Source organism: Homo sapiens, chromosome 17 (genome assembly GCF_000001405.40).
Source record: "Homo sapiens chromosome 17, GRCh38.p14 Primary Assembly".
In the NCBI taxonomy this organism is placed as follows: Eukaryota; Metazoa; Chordata; class Mammalia; order Primates; family Hominidae; genus Homo; species Homo sapiens.
In genome coordinates this window covers 67,066,588-67,086,813 of record NC_000017.11, presented here as the reverse complement: position 1 = coordinate 67,086,813, position 20,226 = coordinate 67,066,588, and the positions used below count along the sequence as shown (strand labels likewise).

The following is a 20,226-nucleotide window of genomic DNA, read 5'->3' as shown; positions in this document are numbered from 1 at the left end:
TGGCTAAAACTAATCTGTACTCCTCAGCTCCCGGATATCTGTGGAGTTTTTCTTCTATACCACCTGCCCCCAATTTGCATTATCATCTTTGAACAATATTTAATGATGCTAATAGCTCATAGGTGTGCAATTTAGGACTATATTGATTCTATATATATATATATATATATATATATATATATTTATATTTATATTTATTTATATATATATATTAATATATGTATATATATTTGAGATGCAGTTTCACTCTTGTCGCCCAGGCTAGAGTACAATGGTGTGATCTCGGCTCATTGCAACCTCCACCTCCTGGGTTCAAGTGATTCTCCTGCCTCAGCCCCCCAAGTAGCTGGGGTTACAGGCACACACACCCACGCCTGGCTAATTTTTTGTATCTAGAGATGGGGTTTCACCGTGTTGGCTAGGCTGGTTTCGAACTCCTGACCTCAGGTGATCGACCCGCCTCGACCTCCCAAAATGTGATTATAGGCGTGAGCCACCGCACCTGGCCAGTTCCATATTTTATGTCCAGAAGGTTAGTAGATATATCCATATTTGGAAACTGATCATTTTGACCTGTGATTGAAAGAAGAAATGGAGCTTAAAACATGTTTCTGAATAGATAGAATCACCTTTGTTTGGGAAAAGTTTGTTTTCTGCTTTTTGGTTTTTTTCCTTCAGGGCTGAGGGGGGTGAGTGGGAGCTGGTTAGATGAATGTTTTCAAGGATTTGTTGTCAGTAAAGTGTTGACAATTTGCTATATAATAGAGTTTGGCCACGAGAGAGACCAGTAAAGTCTGACATTTTGAGATTTAAGAATCCTTGTTTATTCCTTTATTCTAATAAACTGTAGAACTTCATGGCTAAAAAACAAAAAAGGCATAGAAAGGGATCGGAATGGATAAGACACTCTAAACTTGTATGATGGAAAATCTAGAGTCTTCCTCTTTAGCCTTAAAGATGAATGCGCTTTGATCTTTCCTCTGTTCTCTTTTTTATATTGAATGTAAAGAAACTAATTATACTGCTTGAATTCTCTAATTCCTTCTCTTTGTATGCTGTAGACGTTGATCTTTGTGAACAAGTCTGAGATCTTTGTGTGGTGAATTTTTGCCCAGTAACATCAACTTTTTTATTTGAAACAAATTTTGTTCATCTTTAGAATGTGAATCTGTTGTTTCTGTAACTGGCCCATTTTTGAGTATGTGCCATGCTAGCATATTTTTAGAACAATAGACATGGTAAAAAAAATTAAAAAAAAACATTTAAAAGCTTTTGCTTTTATTTCCTGGCAAAAGACATTGTCATTTTAATCTTTAAACATTCTTTGGTACCTTTTAGGAGTAAACCGCTGTATTTTGCCTCGGGTTGCTTTGTCTTTTTGTTGTTGTTTTTGAGACAGGGTCTTGCTCTGTCACCCAGACTGGAGTGCAGTAGTGCAATCTCGGCTCACTGCAACCTTCACACCCCAGGCTCAAATGATCCTCCTGCCTCAGCCTCCCAAGTAGCTGGGACTATAGGCATGTGCCACTATGCCTGGCTAATTTTCGTGTTTATTTTTGTAGAAATGGGGTTTCGCCATGTTTCCCAGGCTGGTCTCAAACTCCTGGACTCAAGCGATCTGCCCACCTCAGCCTCCCAAAGTGCTGGGATTACAGGCATGAGCCACCATGCCTGGCTGCTTTGTCACTTTTTTGTTTGTTTGTTTTTGAGACAGAGTCTCGCTCTGTCACCGTGGCTAGAGTGTAGTGGTGCATTCTCAGCTCACTGCAACCTCCGCCATCCGGGCTGAAGCGATTCCTCCTGCCTCAGCCTCCCGAGTAGCTGAGATTACAGGCATCTGCCACCATGCCCAGCTAATTTGTGTATTTTTAGTAGAGGCGGGGCTACATCGTGTTGGCCAGGCTGACCTCAAGTGATCCATCCGCCTTGGCCTCCCAAAGTTCTGAGATTACAGGTGTGAGCCTGCCTTGTCACTTTCAGGGTCTAGGATAAATACACTCACTCATGTTATCATATTTGAATTTCCTGGCAAACATCTACATTACAAATCAGTGATAATAATTTGTTACTTTTTTGGTGGTTTTGTTTATTATAATTTTTTTACGATAACATCATTTCTCTTCTTCTTTTTCTTTCTTTTTTTTTTTTTTTGAGACGGAGTCTCGCTCTGTCGCCCAGGCTGGAGTGCAGTGGCGCGATCTCGGCTCACTGCAAGCTCCGCCTCCCGGGTTCACGTCATTCTTCTGCCTCAGCCTCCCGCGTAGCTGGGACTACAGGCGCCCGCCACCACGCCCGGCTAATTTTTTGTGTTTTTTAGTAGAGACGGGGTTTCACTGTGTTAGCCAGGATGGTCTCGATCTCCTGACCTTGTGATCCGCCCGCCTCGGCCTCCCAAAGTGCTGGGATTACAGGCGTGAGCCACCGCGCCCGGCCTCTTTCTTTTTTTTAACCTAAGTTTTAGGATAGCTTTTTGCTGAAATTAATAAAAAGCTGACCCAAGCTGATAAGGTAGAAAGTTCCTGAGCAAATGCTCATGTCATTTGTGGTATCTTTTCTGCAAATATAAAGTCATTATTTTCTTCATTGCTTGGAGACAGAGTGTAGTATTTTTAAATTGAAAGTATCACTTAGTTTAGCATTAAAAAATTAATTCAAATCACGAGTGTCCTGAAGCACAACTTCTTGTTTATCAATTTTTTATTTTTAGAGAATTGTAGTAGTGGTATCAGACATAAAATAATCACATGAGAGACTTCTTACTGAAGTTAGAGATTTATTTCTTGAGCTTGAAGAAAACTGTTTATATTATATTGGTTTGAAATTTTAAAAAGATGATTGTGTTTGATATGGATATCAGTTTACAATTAAACTGTAAGCCTAAAATAGAAACCCCATCTTTGGCCTTTTTAAACTTTGAATTTCCCGTTTTGACACTGAATACACTTTAGGCTCTTAGTAAATGCTTGTGGAGAAAGGAGATAATGAAACTAGATTCTGTGCAATTAAGGGGGTGACCCAGTTGCACTGCAGAGGGTGGGGAATCCCTCCTCCAACACAGGTATGTTTGGTTTCTGTTCACTTACCTGGTGACAAGACATACTTTAGCAGACATTTTCTTTTAATGCATGGGTTGAAAATTTTAGATTAGAGATGTGTTTTTTGTTTGTTTGTTTTGTTTTGTTTTTGAGACACAGTCTTGCTCTTGACACCCAGACTGGAGTGCAATGGCACCATCTTGGCTCACTGCAGCCTCCGCCTCCTGGGATCAAGCAATTATCCTGCCTCAGCCTCCTGAGTAGCTGGGATTACAGGCGCCCGCCTAATTTTTGTGTTTTTAGTAGAGACAGGGTTTCACCATGTTGGCCAGGCTGGTCTAGAACTCCTGACCTCATGATCTGTCCGCCTCAGCCTCCCAAAGTGCTGGGATTACAGGCGTGAGCCACTGTGCCCGGCTGAGATATGTATTTTGAAAAATATTAGTTGTAAGACTAGTGAAATTCATAGTTTCAGAGAATGTTTTCTCTTATTGGGAATATATACATGATTAATTAGTAGCAATCTTGTATTCATGGTTAGACAAGGATGTAGGCATTAGGTTAAACTGCCTCTAAACTATTATTTTCTAAGTATTTATTTAATTAAAAACATTTAAAACTGGGCCAGACATGGTGGCTCACACCTGTAATCCCAGCACTTTGGGAGGCCGAAGCGAGTGGATCACCTGAGGTCAGGAGTTTGAGACCAGCTTGGCCAACATGGTGAAACCCCTTCTTTGCTAAAAATACAAAAATTAGCCAGTTGTGATGATGCATGCCTGTAATCCCAGCTACTTGGGAGGCTGAGGCAGGAGAATCACTTGAACCCAGGAGGTGGTGGTGGCAGTAAGCCGAGATCACACCACTGCACTCCAGCCTGGGCGACAGAGCAAGACTCCATCTCAAAAAAAAAAAAAACAAAAAAAAAAAACAGTTAAAACTAATTACATTGCTATAAAACTGAGAACATGGTTAAATAAGTCTTAATAAAGTAAATAAAAATAGTAAGTTCTTGAACAATGAAAGCCATGTTTATTTTATATATTATTTTAGACAGCAAAAAACACTTATATTGAAATATTTGTTAAACTAATTGTTCTTGAAAGCCATTGTTTTATTCACAAAATCAGTGACATTTAAAGGGAAAAGTGATAAATATACTAGAAAGATATTAAATGCTTTAAAATCATTTTGAAGAATTTTATGAATTTTTAAAATTTTTAAATAGTACTATAAAATTAGCATATTGAATAAATAAAATACTAAAGCTAAAACGTGAAATATTTTCACCTTCTGAATTCTAGTTTTATGTTATATTGGACAGCTGTATTGCTGATGTTAACATGGTTTTGAAACTTTGTCATATGGAGTGTGAAGTAGCTTCCATCAGGTGTCACTAGTGTGTTTTAGAGGAAATGAACCATTGTGGTTTGGGTTTTAAAAAGAAATATTAGTGGGGTTTCTTGTGGTTTCAGTTTTTTACTTATTTTGAACTCAAGGATAGAGCTACCTCACTAAATATCTGAAGATCAAATGTCTGAGTTCATTCTATTTGATGATTGTCTTAAGCTACATCTGATTGCAAGAAACAGAAACCAACCCAAAGTAGCTCAGGTAAAAACAGTTTTACTGGAAATAAGATCCAGGGAGCCAGCTGGGTTGATGAGGGGAGCCGGATAGTTTTCTGGTCACTGTGTTTAATCCATGGAAGGTGCATAGCACAAAGTGCCTGGCCCATGGTAAATAGCCACTAGATGTGATGGTCTCAGCATCTCCCTCCAGGGCCTATGGCTTCCTCTGTGTACCTGCTCCTTCGTCCTGCTTTTCCTTGTAAATTGGTCTTCTGATCACTCTGCTCTTGGTCTTCTGATCACTCTGCTCTTCTATGTATTTTTAAGTGTCTTTTGGTTTCCAAAGTAATCTAGCTAAAGGTCTCACTTTCCCTCTCTGTCTGTACCTGCACCCCCCTGCCCCGCCCCACATACACATACAGAAATTTCTGGGAAAAGAAATCCAGCCCAATCTAAATCAGGTATGTTCCAATGGGACACTTCCTTCTAGACATGAACACAAGGAAGGAAGAGACAGTTTCTGTGGCCCACTAACCACAGGGCCATCAAGAAGCAGAGTGCCATACTCATAGAGCTCAGTGAAAAAGATGGCATGGTCCTCTCCCTCAAGGAGCTATCTAGTTTGGGAAATAAGATTAACATACATAAAGCAATAACAATCAATATTAAAGGACATAAAACCAAGTGCTAAATGTGCAGTTTAGACACTGTACCCTTAAAGATGGTGGAATAGTTGGGAGAAAACTTTGTACAAGAGGAACTAACTCACCTCTCTGTTGTTATTGCCCTCTGTTGTCTAATATTAACCTTTTACCGTGTTCAGAGGAGACTAATGAGGAAATGCTTCCCATTCTTGTCCTCTTCTACCTGTATCAGTTAGGGTAAGGGCTAAGCTGTTGTCCCAAAGAGACCCCAAAGTACAGTGCCTTAAATAAGATAGAAACTTATTTTTCTTTTACCTAATTGGGTAGTTCACACTATCTGAGTAGCTTTGCTTCACAAAGTCATTGAAGGGCCCAAGGTCCTTCTACTGTGTCCCACTGTCCTCTGAAGGATTGTCTTTGTTGCATAGTCAAAGCTAGGTTTCTGCCATGACAGTGTTTCAAGGCAAGTGGCTTATCTTCAAGCTAGAGATGACACAGAAATTGCATGCACACTTTTGCTCATATCTAATTAAGCCAAATTTAGTTACTTAGCCATACTCAGCTACAAGGGAAGCTGGGAAATGTAGTCACTAGCTGAGCAACTACGTGTCCAATTTAAGCTTAGTGTGATGGGTGGGGTTTCTGTACCTAAAAGGAAGCAGGGAAAGCACAGAAACCGAGAGATTGTTACTAGTCTCTCCTGTGCCCTCCTAGTCTTTCCCCACCTGTTTAAATCCTTCAGGACTCATCCCAGGTTTCATCTTCTCTATGTAGATTCCCTCCTGGCTCTCCCAGAACTCCCTTAGGACATATCAGCCTTCATTGTTCCACTTCTATTGTTATTTAGCCATGCCATGACTGAATATTATATATTATTTCCACAATAAAATGATAAGTTTACAAAGGGCTGCTCTAACCAACTGTATACTTTCATGGGTCTAGCACAGCAGTGAATACATAGTAAGTGCCCAATAAATATTTATTGGATTGAGAAGGCAGTTTAAGGTTTTGGATGGGTAAATGGGCAAATTCCAGATATGAGAAGCAACCTGTGAGAAAGCAGGAAGAGCAGACTGAGCATGGCTCACCTGCCTGTTTAATTAAATAGAAGGTCTGTGAGAATATCCAGAATTTATCTGAAAAGAGGTAGAGGAGGAAAGTAAAGAAGGAGGACTTCAAAGAGCAGAGAACACAATTTATTATAGGGCCACAAAAAACTTAATACTGATACAGAAATAGAAACACGGTTCAGTGGAACAGGAAGACTAGAAAGCCCAGATACAGATTTCAATGCACAAAAGAATTTAGTAATAATAAAAGTATGATCAGTATAGAAGGGATGGATTATTCAATAAATGATTAATTAACCATTCAAGGGAAAAATAAATGAACAGTTATATCTTTACCTTATGCCACATAATAAAATAAATTGCAGATAGATTATAAAATTTTAACTTAAAACAGGAAACCCTTAAAGATTCACAAAAAGATGTAAATATCTGACTTCGCATAGAAACTAGTTCATGGATTTGCTTAGTAAAATCTAAAACATTTGCTGACAAAGTGGAAGCATTATAAATAACATTAAAAGGGAAATCACAAAACAGGTAAAAATATTTGCAACATATGACAAAAGAATAGTATTCTTCATATGTAAAAAGTGCCTACAAAATAATAGGAAAAAACAATAGAATAGTATGTCCAATAGAATAATGGACAGAGGTAGTCTGCAAATAGGTAATAAACAAGGAAAACTGTTCATACACACCAGCTATCAAGGAAATGCAAACTGTAACCACAACAAGATAATTATTTACTTAATAAAATAGGCTAAGCTTTTAAACAGTTATCATGCCAGTGCTGTGATTGGGTAAGGCAATGGGCAAATATGGCTGGCTGAGTACACATGGGCAGCATCTTCCTGCAGAGTGGTTTGGCCACAGTTGTCAGAAGCTTTGTACACCTAGGGATTTATCCTGAGGAAATAGCTGTGAAATACATGAATTTGTATGGCTCGTACATCCCATTGTACACCTAGGCACTTATCCTGAGGAAGGAGCCGTGAATATTTAGAAATATTGACCTGGAACATCACGGTCTAGAGAAGAGAAAAATTGGTGATAATGAAAATTTCTAAAAATGAGACATTACATAAGTAAGTTATGAAATACTCTAAATCAAGTACTTAGGGAAAAATAAAACAACAACTTAAGGCTTATCTCTGGTATTTAGAAGTATGAATGACTTTCTTCTTTGGACTTTTCTGAAATTTTCCAATTGTCCTCAGTGAATTTGTATTATGTTTATAATCCAGTACAATGTTACATAAAGTTTTAAAAGATTGAAAAGAAAAGCAGTTATTTGAAAGCAAGCTATGGTTTAGTGAGCAATAAAATTGGTTAGGAAGGATGGAGTCAAATTTTAAGGGACCTTGAAAGTCAGGCACATTATAGGAAATGTGAAGTCATTTACAGTCTCCACACGCACCCCTTATTCCATGTTACTCAGTATATAATACAAGGAAGGGTAGCATTGTAAACAAATGGAATCCCATGGCACTATTACTTAGCTCAGTAATAAAAGCTGTTTTGACCAAGAGTCTGGATATGCAGCTCCTTTTTATTTAAGAGAGAGCATGTGCCTGTTTACAAACTATGAGCAGTTACTAGAATAAATATCAAAGTGTACAGTTACACAAACTAGTTTTTTATTTTTCAGCAAGCCTTCAGATTTGAACTTTAGTTTTTATATGTTAGCTATTCCACTTCTCATGGCTGTTTTATGTGTCTATAAGATAGGGACGTTTGGTTGGATGTGTTGTGATTTCAGCATTCTATGGCAGAAGGTGTCTGTCCTTGTGGCTATACTGTCCTTGAGTTCCTGGAGATGAGAGCCAGTTCTGACACACTGAGTGAATGAGGCACATGAACATTGCTGGGCTCATCCTTAAATCTGTGTCACTGTTCTCTGCTTTTAGCGCCACCCAAGACTGTCAAACCCCCTGAGGATCAACTGAAGTCGGAGAACCTCGAGGTGTCCAGTTCCTTCAACTACAGTGTGCTGCAGCATCTTGGCCAGTTTCCACCCCTTATGCCTAACAAGCAGATCGCGGAGTCGGCCAATAGCAGTAGCCCCCAGAGCTCTGCGGGGGGCAAGCCCGCCATGTCCTATGCCAGCGCTCTGCGGGCCCCTCCAAAGCCCAGGCCCCCTCCTGAGCAGGCCAAGAAGAGTAGCGACCCTCTGTCTCTCTTCCAGGAACTGAGCCTAGGGAGCTCATCTGGCAGCAATGGCTTTTACTCATATTTTAAATAATCACTTTTTTTTTCCCTCAAGGGAGAATGTTTTAATTTCTGTTTGTATCAGTAGAATTAAGGTAGTTGGACTTCATCTATAGATGCACAGTTCCCTTTGTTTTAATATTAAATATGTTCTCACTTAATTGCTTTGCTGCTAGACTTGCAACTAATTTTTTTAAAGTATATTCCATTATTTTGCATTTTTGATGTGTCAAAACTTTGACAGCTTTTATGTAGAATAAAAAAATTTTTAAATTTGTGTATTGTTACATATGTTTGCATCAAGCTAGCAGCCAAGAGGTTAATTGTGCAACTATAAAAAAAAAAAAAAAAAGAAAAGTTTGTCTAAAATGTATTTAAAAAGAAAAAAAAATTGTAAGTAGCATTTACATTTATTCAATAATATTACCACATGCTGGGTTTCTGTACCAGAAATGGCCAGTTGATGTACAAATGTATGTTATTTTTGCTTAAATTCATTTAAATTTTTTTTAAAATAAAGGGGCAGCATCTTCTAAATAAGTTTTATCAGCTTTTTTTTTTTTTTTGGTGACACGATGCTGCATTCTAAAACTTTTATAGTTTTAGACTATGTATGATGTGTTGTTGTAATCTCCATCCACCATAGGATAGAGTTAAAGGCATTCTTTGCAGGCATATTTTGTATGCCACTGTTTTTTGAAATGTGAAAAAAACGTTGGCATACTTAGTTATTTTTTGGACAAGCTACACTTCAAGCTTGTTTTTAATGTTAATTTGATAGTGTGTGTTTTTTTTTTTAAACAAATCAAGAAGCTGAAAAATTTTTAGGATTGTTGGTGCTTAGTAGACTTGATAACTATTTTAAAAATGCGTGAATTTAGTAAAATTCTTTTTTTCTCACTATGCATGTGTAAATGTTTGTAACCTGGCTTCCCTCTTCTCCAGTGGTATAAAGAATTGTGCCGCTTTAAGGTTTGGGTTTTTTTCTCTCCAGTAAAAATTTTGGTACCTTATTTGATGTTTACATTAAAATGTGACATTATACGTGGCAATTCAAATATTTTGCTAGCTGTCTTGTTTGAGGAACACCATTAAAGAAGAAATATAATGTTTGTCAAAAATGTATCAAAATTCATCAGAATCTGGGGCAGAAAACTACCCTTGTTTTTCATGTCTTTCAATTCTTCTAAAATACCCCTTATTGAACTTGTACACAATATAAAATTTAAATAGCCATCTTAAATATTCTACCATCTAAAAATTGCTTTGAATGAATTTTGGTAAAATCCAAAGGAAGATGTTTACCCTCTTGAAACTTATGGTCTTGTCACACATTTAAAGCAATATATGTCCTTATTTTCCTGACCTTGTAATACTACTTTTATATTTCAGAGGTATCTCGAAACTACAATATAAACTTTTAAAAAAAAATAAGATGAGGCTGGGGAACCTTTCGAATGAACCCAATCTTCCTGATGATCCATTCAAAAACAGGTTTTTGGAAGACCACTTTCGATAGGCAATCCTATAATCAAAGTACATTTTTAAAATCAGGTTGTAAAATGGCAAAGGTAAAGAAAAATTACTGACATTTCTTCTATGATTGGAGTTTAGTTTATGTTGGCCAGCTACAACCCCTTTTAATCCTCAGACAGTTTGGGATAAAAGAGTGCCTTTGGTTAATGGTTAGCAAGCTCCAGGATAAGCGCTGCGTGCCTCTTGTATTCAGCTCTACCTTTCTGCTAAGAGTGCGGTTCATTTGTGTGTGGCTTTGCGTTCCAGGCTGTGGGTCTCTGTGTAAGGTGGCAGACATAGACTTGTAAACTGCAGACGTGTTAATGGTTAGCATAAATCACAGCTGGAAAACTGAGCCGGCAAGTTACAGCACCACTCTTTCTCTGTATGATGTCAGATCACCACATTTAGCAATGTCAAATTTTACTCAACATTCTTTAGTAGGAAGAAAAGAAGAAAAAGTTTTGCCACGTAGCTATGTGCTTTTAAGTCTGTGACAAAACTCAAGACATATCCGAATGAAAATTAGATCTCTCTGATGTGAGGATGTTATGGAAAATAATTTTCCCATCAGTGATTATCCACCCCCCAGCCCCCATATACAGGACTACAACGCAAGCTAGATAAATGTTCAAAAGCAATCTGATAATATGAAGACAGAATTGTCAAGTCAGGGCTTTCAGTTGACCCCTTGTCATGAGGTTATTGCCTAATTTTCTGTTTTCTATACTTGAATCTTTAAAAAATATCAGTTTTTAAATTATTTATATTTATATTTAGTTAAGGGTCATGGGGTCGTGTATGCACCCCATCACCTTATATAAATATGTTGATGATGGAAGCTTTGGATAAGGAAGCTATTAAGTTGTCATGACATCCTTGTTCTAAGCAGTTATTTCTAAAAACTAAAAATAATAGCTACTTATTGGCCCACCGCTCTGCTGTGAGTATATGAGTACTTCTCATTCCTTATTTCCATAGCCAGTCAAGGATTCTAACGCTGCTTCCATCTGATACTCTTCTTAGATTCTGCATCAAATGCTTATTTTGACTTACAACAAGCTTACTCTTCCTCAGCATTACATAATGCCATCTTTCCAACCATGCTTTAAAGAACCTGCTCTTTACGCATAGTATCTTATAACATTTTGAACACGTCTTGTGTAAGAATCATTGCAAGTTTCCATCAAAATGAGGCGTGTCTTCTGAGTACAGCTGATGTTCTTTGGGTATTACTTGAGTAGTAGTAGCAAGTACCCATAAATCAGATTTATGAAACATAACTTATATGCTAGGTTCAACCCTTATATATGCATATATATGTATAGTATATGTATATAAAATTTTTTTCCAGAAAACTTGATGATAGCTCTCAGATAATACCAAGTATTACCAGCTTCCATTTCTTCAGAGCAGATTTTTTTCTAAGTGAGGTTAATTGTTCACATAATGTCTTTTTACATCTTTGTCCTTTGTATCACTCTGAAGTTTTCTTTTTCTTGCCAGAATATTTGTTTCACTTTTTAATTTCAGTGCTACTTGAGATTTTCTTTTTTTTTAACCTGAAAGACGATATTTTGGATGATAGAGTTTGTAAAGTGAGCCTTCATGCTGAAAAAATTCTTTTCATGATCTAAAAATGGTCTTTTGTTACGATTTGAAGAACCTCATTCCGTGTAACATGGATATTTTCTTGTGTGTCTTTAAAGGGGGTTTTGGTTGTCATTTGGGCATATGCTTTGCCAAATTGTTATAGCAGAACTTTGTTTTTGATTAATCAGTAGTTAATTATTGACCATTTAAACTAACATGACCTTAATTTTCCTTTCCTCACACAGATGTGCTTTCTATCCAGGTCATTTTTTACACGTGAAATAACAAACTGCTTTGTGTAGATTTTTTTTTTTTTTAAATCATCAGATTTTAGAATAAGTTTAGGTTTAATGTAAACATCAACTGGTCTTTTCAGTTCAGAGAACTGCAGAATAAGTAAAATAAGCAGAATTCCCACTGAATAAGCATTACCTAATTAAACATAGCAACATCTAAGACCAATTTATGAAAATACTCTCCTTTTTTATGGAGGCATTGGAGCTGCTGAGAAAGCTAATGAATTTCCCAACTTTGGGATAATTAATATATAGTATTGTGTTGCTCTAGTGTAGTTGATTTTATGTGTTTAATATTTTTCATGTCAAGAGCAAAGCTGCAGACGTAAAAGATGTTTCTCTAGCCCCCTTAGCTAGAGCGAGCCACCTTTGTTAAGAGTCAGGGTGTGAAGAACAATTTCAAGATAAATTTTAGTATTTCAACCATTGTTATTAAGAAAATTAGACTTACTGAAATACTCATTTAAAAACAGACACCTTCTATAGCATTGTTTTATAGTGGAGTTATTTTTAAAAAGGGAATCCCAGAAAGAATCTATAAAAATACAAGGTTAAAACTTTAAATGTATTGAAAGATACAAATTGGTGCTTTCAAATGTCATGTAAGCTAGCCATTGTGTTTTTTTTTTTCCCTCCAGCTCCTCAATGGTAGTAATTTGTCTTTTATGATTTACCGTACATTATTTCTTGCTCACCATCCCCTTAACATATGAAAATCCTTAATTTCTACTGCCGCGCTATATGTCTTCCTGAATCTCAAGGTATAAATGTCTTAATGGATCTGATTTGTCTCCACTCTTTGCCATCTGATCCACATTCAAACCGCCTAGAAATTAGAAAGAATAGGTAATGTTCTATCTACGATTTCTTGTTCAAAATATCACGTAGTGGTGCCAATCACTTACAAAGACACCATCTCCATCTTGAAAGAGTAACTGGCATGTTAGTCTTGAAAATGCTCATTATGATATGCTCCTCACATTTCCCATCTGCTTGAGGATGGACATTTATTAGCTGAGACTTTAAAGCTGCTAAATTCACACTTTCTACTTTCATACCTTTTTAATCAGTAATGTCAAGACCATTGTTGCAAGGAGTGAATCTTACTAAACACATCCTGTTATTACTTTAAACTAGAATATGAGATTCAAGAGATTTAAAAACAATTTTAATGTAACGTTTAAAATTTTTGAACCAATTGAGAATGTCTACTTTGGAGTGAAGTTTAAGGAAACAGTCACCAGAGTTTCTAAAAATTTTTTGGAGGGAGGTACCTAATAGAAGAATCTAGACTTAGAAATGTGAACTGTGGTTAAATACCAAACCCAGTTCCGCAGTGGTCGTCTAAAGCGTCTAAAACTGGAGTGTTAAGAAAACCCAGAGACATTCATATAGTTTCAGTTATCAGAGTATTAGACCAGACTTTATTTGCAATTTGTTCAACAGAGAGATTTTATTTTGATACAGATATTAAGCATAAAGCATAGTAAGTTTTATATAATTCTATGAGTTCATTAAACAATATTATGAAATTTTCATTATGTTCGTGGGGAGTCTTTTTAACTGTTTCTACCTCATATATGAGGTCTCTTCTGTATTTTACTTTGCATACTAGCATGTGATTGCCTGCCTTAGAACTATGTAGAGGAGGGGAAATCGATATTACCTTTTAAGAAATTTTTGATTTTATGAAGTGTTTTCATTAATACTTTTTTAATGTTTGAGAAGTAAAGGGGAAAGGGTGGCAAATTACATAGGTTGCAACACAGAGTAGAAGTCACATAGTACTATTTACAGATCTGTCCTGTTTTAAGATTTGAGAATTGTGAACAGGATGGAGCAATGGTTCTCAAACTTCAGCCAGTATCAGAATTGCCTCGAGGTCTTGTTAAAATTCAGATAGCTGGACCCACCCCCAGCATTTCTGATTTTGGTCTGGAGCCTGATGATTTGCATTTCCAACAAGTTTCCAGGCGATGCTGATGCTGCCAGTCCAGGAACCACACTTTGAAAATCACTGGGTCTGATTCTCGCAGTTTGAAAGTCTCAGAGACCTTCAGAGTCTGAACGTCTTTTCAACCATGTATTTATTTACTCAGTGTAAAAAACTGATCTCTGGAGACATTTTTATAAATCTGGTGCCATGACTGGAACATTTGTGGAGAAAGGTCTCCATGGAGCGACAGGCCCTTTGGATTGGCCACCACCCCTCCTCACTCTCACCCCTGCTGGGGTCTGCACTGCTCTTCCGCAGTAGGGTGAAGGAGCTCTTTGGTTTTAGGGTGAGTTTGCTTTTGTGTACGCTGCTGCCTGGACATCAGTCTGGAAGCTGTGCATTTGTTTGGTGTGCTTAGGGTCAATCTTGATCCACATGCATGGAAGTGAGAATCCTGGAAAGAAGCCATCAGAATGCCATGAGAGTGCACCTAGCATGTATCGAGGCACTAAGTGCAGGAGTCCCTGTCCTAAGATGGCAGTGACATGGAGCATCGAAAACCACAGATAATCCTTAAATAATAAAATAATAGTTTTGTTTTTTTTTCTTCGGGGCAGAGTCTCGCTCTGTTGCCCTGGCTGGAGTACAGTGGCATGATCTCGGCTCACTGCAACCTCCGCCTCCCGGCTTCAAGTGATTCTCCTGCCTCAGCCTCCCAAGTAGTTGGGACTACAGGCATGCGCCACCACGCCCAGCTAATTTTTGTATTTTTTAGTAGAGACGGGGTTTCACCGTGTTGGCCAGGATGGTCTCCATCTCTTGACCTCATGATCTGCCCGCCTCGGGCTCCCAAAGTGTTGGGATTACAGGCATGAGCCACTGCGCCTGGCAAATGTTTTAGTTTTTATGGTTATTATTATTTTTTTTTTTTGTGGGGGAGGGTGGTGAGGGCAAAGGATTTGTTTTTCAAATTATGTGTTTCTCAGGTTAACAAAGTTATTTTAGATTCTCTGCCATGCCAGCAGGTGTTAGAGAGAGCCTGAAGTGTTACATATGGCAGAAAATAAATGTCTCTGATTACTTTGCTACCTTTAAAAAAATCTATATGTGTTTGCAAAACAGCCTAGGGGGATCTACCACCTACACAGCATGAATTATTCATAAGTCATAGGTGCACATGTATGAGCAAGTTATTTTTGAGAAAGAAACTGCCTATAATATAATAAACCTGTCAGGTCTTTGGGTATTGTTTAATTTGTGTGTTGTTGCTGTTTTATCTGGACTGCATCTTGGGGGGTACTGGGCTCTGCTTCTGGTTTTTAGTTTGCCTTTGAATTTACTGAGCTACTAGAAAGACAAAAAAAAGCTATTTTTATGGTAATAGAATACAGAATGACTTAGGTGTAAAAGTACACGTGAAGACCATCGTAGAATATACAGCTTTGGAGTTTTCTTAAGACACAGTCCTTCCTACTGAAAAGGCTTGCTCACCTTTGGAGAGGATTGTTTATATTTTCAGCCTGGGTTCCTTTATGCAGTCCCAACTTAGAGGGGAGCTTCGGTTTATTTACACTTTGCTTTGCACGATAACTTGTATGCGAAGACCTCTTTATATCTTTCAGTAGGTCAGAGGGCTCTTTGTCCTGGTTGAAGTCCCAAAGTGTCAGTGCAGCTGAGAATGTTTCTCAGCCTCCCCCTTTACAGAGGAAGGGTCCTGGATTTTCATAAATCCAGACCATGCCTGCTTCCTATAAATCCATGTATATGACATTGTACTGTATCTGATTTCTGTGCCAGTCATCTGACCTGATTCTTTAAACCCCATAAAGGTACTGGCTATATGTAGTAGTTGTATCCTAGGTAAATATGGTGATTAAAATACTTCTCTTCTAAATTATAAAGATAATGAGTTTTGCATTTTATTAAAGGGTCCTGTTATTAGTGACACAGGATTTTTTTTTAATGCTTCATACATATAGTTCTTATCTAAACTTGTTCAGCTAACTTCATAGATCAGTTACTTAGCAAATTCATACTGAGTCTTATTTTGGGAAGTCTTCCTGAGGGAAGCTGTACAAAACTGAGGTGGTCAGGTTCATCTCTTCAAAGTACCAGTTATACAGCCATCTAAATAGGCATAACTTATGGCAAAATTATAACAATTTTTTTTCTTTGCAGTAAATGATACCTCATCTAAGAGGCTCTAATACCTAAAGAGTTTATCCTTAAAAGTAAAAGTGACTTTGTACCATAAAATAACCCCAAAGCCACTCTCTAGGGTTTTTATTTTCTTCTTTCTTTGTCTTTATCTTTTCTAACTTAGTTTTGGAATTACGTTAGCTACTTTGGTTCCATAGAACAAGTTTTCAACTTGGGGTCTACAGTTCCTACAGTGTGCTCATTGTCTCAGTGAAGTTCTTTTGTTTTCAAAGATTCATGGTAACAAAATGTATTTTACTGCTACAACTAAAATGTATTTATAATAAAATGCCTTTTTAATAATTTGGAGATGTGTTTATTATGTGTGAACTATAATTCTCTGCTTCCTTCTGCCCTTAAGGTCAAAGGTCTGACTGAAGTTAAGCACAGCCCTTTGATTTTATTCCTAATAGTAAATGGTAAAACGAATGTAACTGAGAACTCAGTGTGAATTTGTAAAGTTCTAACTCTACTTTCCAGACATTTGTGACTTGGCTTAAATCCCCTAACTTCAGCAGTAATGCTTTTAAGACTTAAACGTGTTACCTGAAAGTTTAAAGATCTCCAGTGGTCAGTGAGAAAATAAGCCCTTTTCAAACAGTCATTCAACAAATATCTTACAAATTTAAGAAAATTATCCTGAATTACTCTTAACAAGTCACTTAGTTGTTAATGCGGCCCAGAATTTATTTGAGAACTCATAAACCTAGTTTGTAGTGATATATTATGTAGGTATAATCATGCACTTCACAGTAATGCGTGCCAAACATTAATTCAACAATCCAAAAAAAAAAAAAAATGCTGGTTGTGCAGAAAATTGCCCTGAGTCAAGGTCTTGTTTTTCTTGGGGAAATAATTCTTTGCATCTGCCATGATGTGATTTTGAGAAGCATTAGCAGGTCACAGAAGGCTTTGTGTGCCCTGGCTATTTTATTTTTAACATCCTATTAATGTGGCACCATAAATCTAGCTTGAATGTACTGTGCTTCAAGTTTGTAAATGTAAGTAGATGGGACGGTCAGCCTTTCCTAAGGACAATGTACCATTTGTACTCATTGCGGTGAATCCATTTTAAGCTAGGTATCTCGCTTTGAGATGATTTGATATGACAATCAAATCTGGACTTAAGAAATAAAAACTTCTCTCCATATAAATCAAATGGATTTGGGGGACTCCTTGAGCTGTTCCCTGCTCTAGATGAAATAACCCCAAGGCTCCACTGTCACTGGGAAAATGCAGATGTGACTGCCGCAGGTGTTAGCCCTATGCCATATTGATGCTATTTGAAGCATTTTTCTGAGAATGGTATTGGTATGAAAGTTCGTGTGAAAATGTAATTGATAAAACAATCACTTCCTTTCATCAAAACTGCAAGATGGGAAATTCGATGTGGAGTGCAGGTCAAGTATGAAGAGCAAAAGCTGGTTAGCAGAAGCAGTGCTGGCATCCCAGCCGTTTTTAAACTGGAGCATCCAGATATTCCTGTGGTTAGCTCTGAACAGCCAAAGAGCACTTAGTCTGAAATTGACTCTGCTGCTCGAGTTACATAGTATTGTCCTAACAAATCAATTCCCTAATGGGTGGAAATCCTCTTAAGATTTGAAGAGCCCTGTGTTGATTGCATTGCCTCACTTTCAGTTCATGCTACCAACTGCAGCCATTTCCCTTTCTGAAATAGACTGTACCACTCTTTTGCTGAAAAGCCTTCAGTGGCTCTCCATCACATCCTACATTTTTTAGCTGGATTTCGAGGCACCCAAGGCATGTTCCTGAGCATTGCACATACCAGGTTGTAGCAGATCAGTCACCGTCACTTTCTGAACAAACCCTTGATCTTCCGGCCTCTCAATTTTGTTTGGAGCATGCCCATCAGCTCTCAGACTCCCACTCCTCAGGGATACTGATTAGTCGAGACCCAATGTCACCTCCCACACTACCCAGGTGGAATTAGCCCTTTTGTCTCTGTGCTTGCAATTAAGCTTTATATCTCCCTTATCACCATTTTTGTGTTATAGTTGGGAGTCTAAGAGCTCTTGGGAAGCAGAGATAATGTCCTCAGACCTCTAAACCACCAGCACCAGCTCTGTGCCTGTTATATGGCAGGCTTTCGATGAACGCTTGCTGAACTGGATCTGGGGGTTTGATCGAGAGAAGAGCTTAAAGATGCTCTCCCCTCCCCGTTGACATTATTTGCCTGACATTCTTTGCCCACACAGTGTGGCCTTATGACAACACTTGGCAGGAGAGTGATGGCTTGGGATGAAGGAGGAGTAAGCTGTCTTGTCCGGTGTTGTCTCTGCCCATTCCACATGGTTCTCCGAGCAGTGACAAAGCGTTAGCATTCATGAGTATTTTCTGTCTTGCCTGGTATCACTGTTAGAACCCTTCACCTGACAGCTTCACCATGGTTATGTCAGTTTTGATGGATGCTGCCTACTTTAGCACATTCTGGTCTGTAGGCATATACCTGCCATGCAGTGTTCTGGGAATGTGATGAAATTCCCCCTTTGTCTGAAGCTCTGGTTGATTTGAAATCCACAAGGGAAGGTAATTAAATTGAATAGAAGCTGCAGCTTGCAAAACCTATGGTATTATCCCACTCTTAGCTCATTAAAACTGCTGCTCTGCAAATTGATTTGAACCTTTGTTTCAGGAAATTGTGCTGCAATTCCCTGAGAACAAAGTGGTGCTGGCGAGGTGATCTGGAGGAGCCAGTGAAGGACTCTGAAGGTAGGCATGGCCAGCTGGACACTCGGCTCACATGCTATGCTCCCCTGCACACGGAGCCGTGGGAGGATGGAGTTTTGATGTCATTTGCTCCCAGATTGAACAGAAACACTGATGACAAGCCATTTTGGATGTAGGAGGGGAGTGCCTGAAAGTTTTGGAGACCTTGCAAAGGAAACTCGGAAATGTTCCAATTAGTCTTCTGAGTTTTGTTTCCTTTATAGGCAAAAGATACACGGGAGCCTAAATGGAAGGTCCGGAAGTCACAGCAGTAGGTGGCCTTGTCTTCATGCCTGGTCCCCAAACCCACCTGCTGGTTAAGTCTTCCATCTGTTTAGAATTCAGGGATGTGCGTGATTTTCCAAAGCTAAACAGACGTGGGTGCTCTAGGCTCCTTTTCTTAGACGAAGTTTTGCAGATTCAATCCTCTTAGACTTAGAACCAGGTTTAAAGCAAGTTGTATAACTTGGGACAAAATTAACAGAAGATGATTGGGAGATGGGTGAGGGAATAGGCTTCATCTTGACGAATCAAGTCTCAGTGTGGCTGTCGAGGACCACAGACAATTCCTGCTGGGCTGGCTCAGCTAACAGAGTGGAAGGTCAACTTTTTTGGAAAAAAATAAACTGTGATCTAGTGTAATTATACTTCTAGAAATCTTATTATTTATTTATTTTTTTTTTGGAGATGGAGTATTACTCTGTCGCCTAGGCTGGAGTGCAGTGGCACGATCTCGGCTCACTACAACCTCCGCCTCCTGGGTTCAAGCAATTCTCCTGCCTCAGCCTTCCGAGTGCGCCTCAGCAGGTGCACGCTGCCACGCCTGGCTAATTTTTTGTATTTTAGTAGAGACAGGGTTTCACCGTGTTGCCCAGGCTGGTCTCGAACTCCTGAGCTCAGGCAATCTGCCTGCCTCAGCCTCCCAAAGTGCTAGGATTATAGATGTGAGCCACTGCACCTTGCCTGAAATCTCTCTGTTCTTAAAGGCTGTCAGCTGATGTGTTCTAGCTCATAAAATCGTCTCATCTCAGAGATGTGCAGCTGTGGGCTCTGCTGTACCAAATACAGCTGGCTCAGTCACATTGATCTGACTTAAGCAAAACTCAGGGACAAGCCACTCTGGCTGCCAACACCTGAGGTCAGGGACCTGGATTGTGAATGAGCTCTTGTGTACTCTTTTCTTGCTTCTTGAAGTATTCTTATGGTGTGGATTCCCCCACGACCTTTTATTTTTTGTTTGTTTGTTTTTGTTTTGAGACAGGGTCTCACTCTGTCATCCAGGCTAGAGTTTAGTGGTGCAATTATAGCTCACTGCAGCCTCCACCTCCCGGGCTGAAGCAATCCTCCCACCTCAGCCTCCTGAGTAGCTGGGACCAAAGGTGTGTACCACCATGCCTGGCTATTTTTTTTGTTGTTGTTGTTTTTGGTAGAG

General features: G+C 38.6%; 1 protein-coding gene across 9 annotated transcripts in view; it reads left to right on the top strand.

Annotated features, from left to right (window-relative positions):
- The window catches only part of HELZ (helicase with zinc finger), a 175,546-nt gene extending 159,176 nt beyond the window's left edge, over positions 1 to 16,370 (top strand). For all 9 annotated transcript variants that reach the window (XM_047437225.1, XM_047437224.1, XM_011525544.2 and 6 more), the window contains one exon: positions 8,228 to 16,370. In XM_047437225.1, coding sequence (XP_047293181.1) covers positions 8,228 to 8,562 — 335 coding nt within the window. In that variant the 3' untranslated portion in view covers positions 8,563 to 16,370. The remainder of the gene's footprint in view (positions 1 to 8,227) is intronic.
- The last annotated feature ends 3,856 nt before the right edge of the window (positions 16,371 to 20,226 follow it).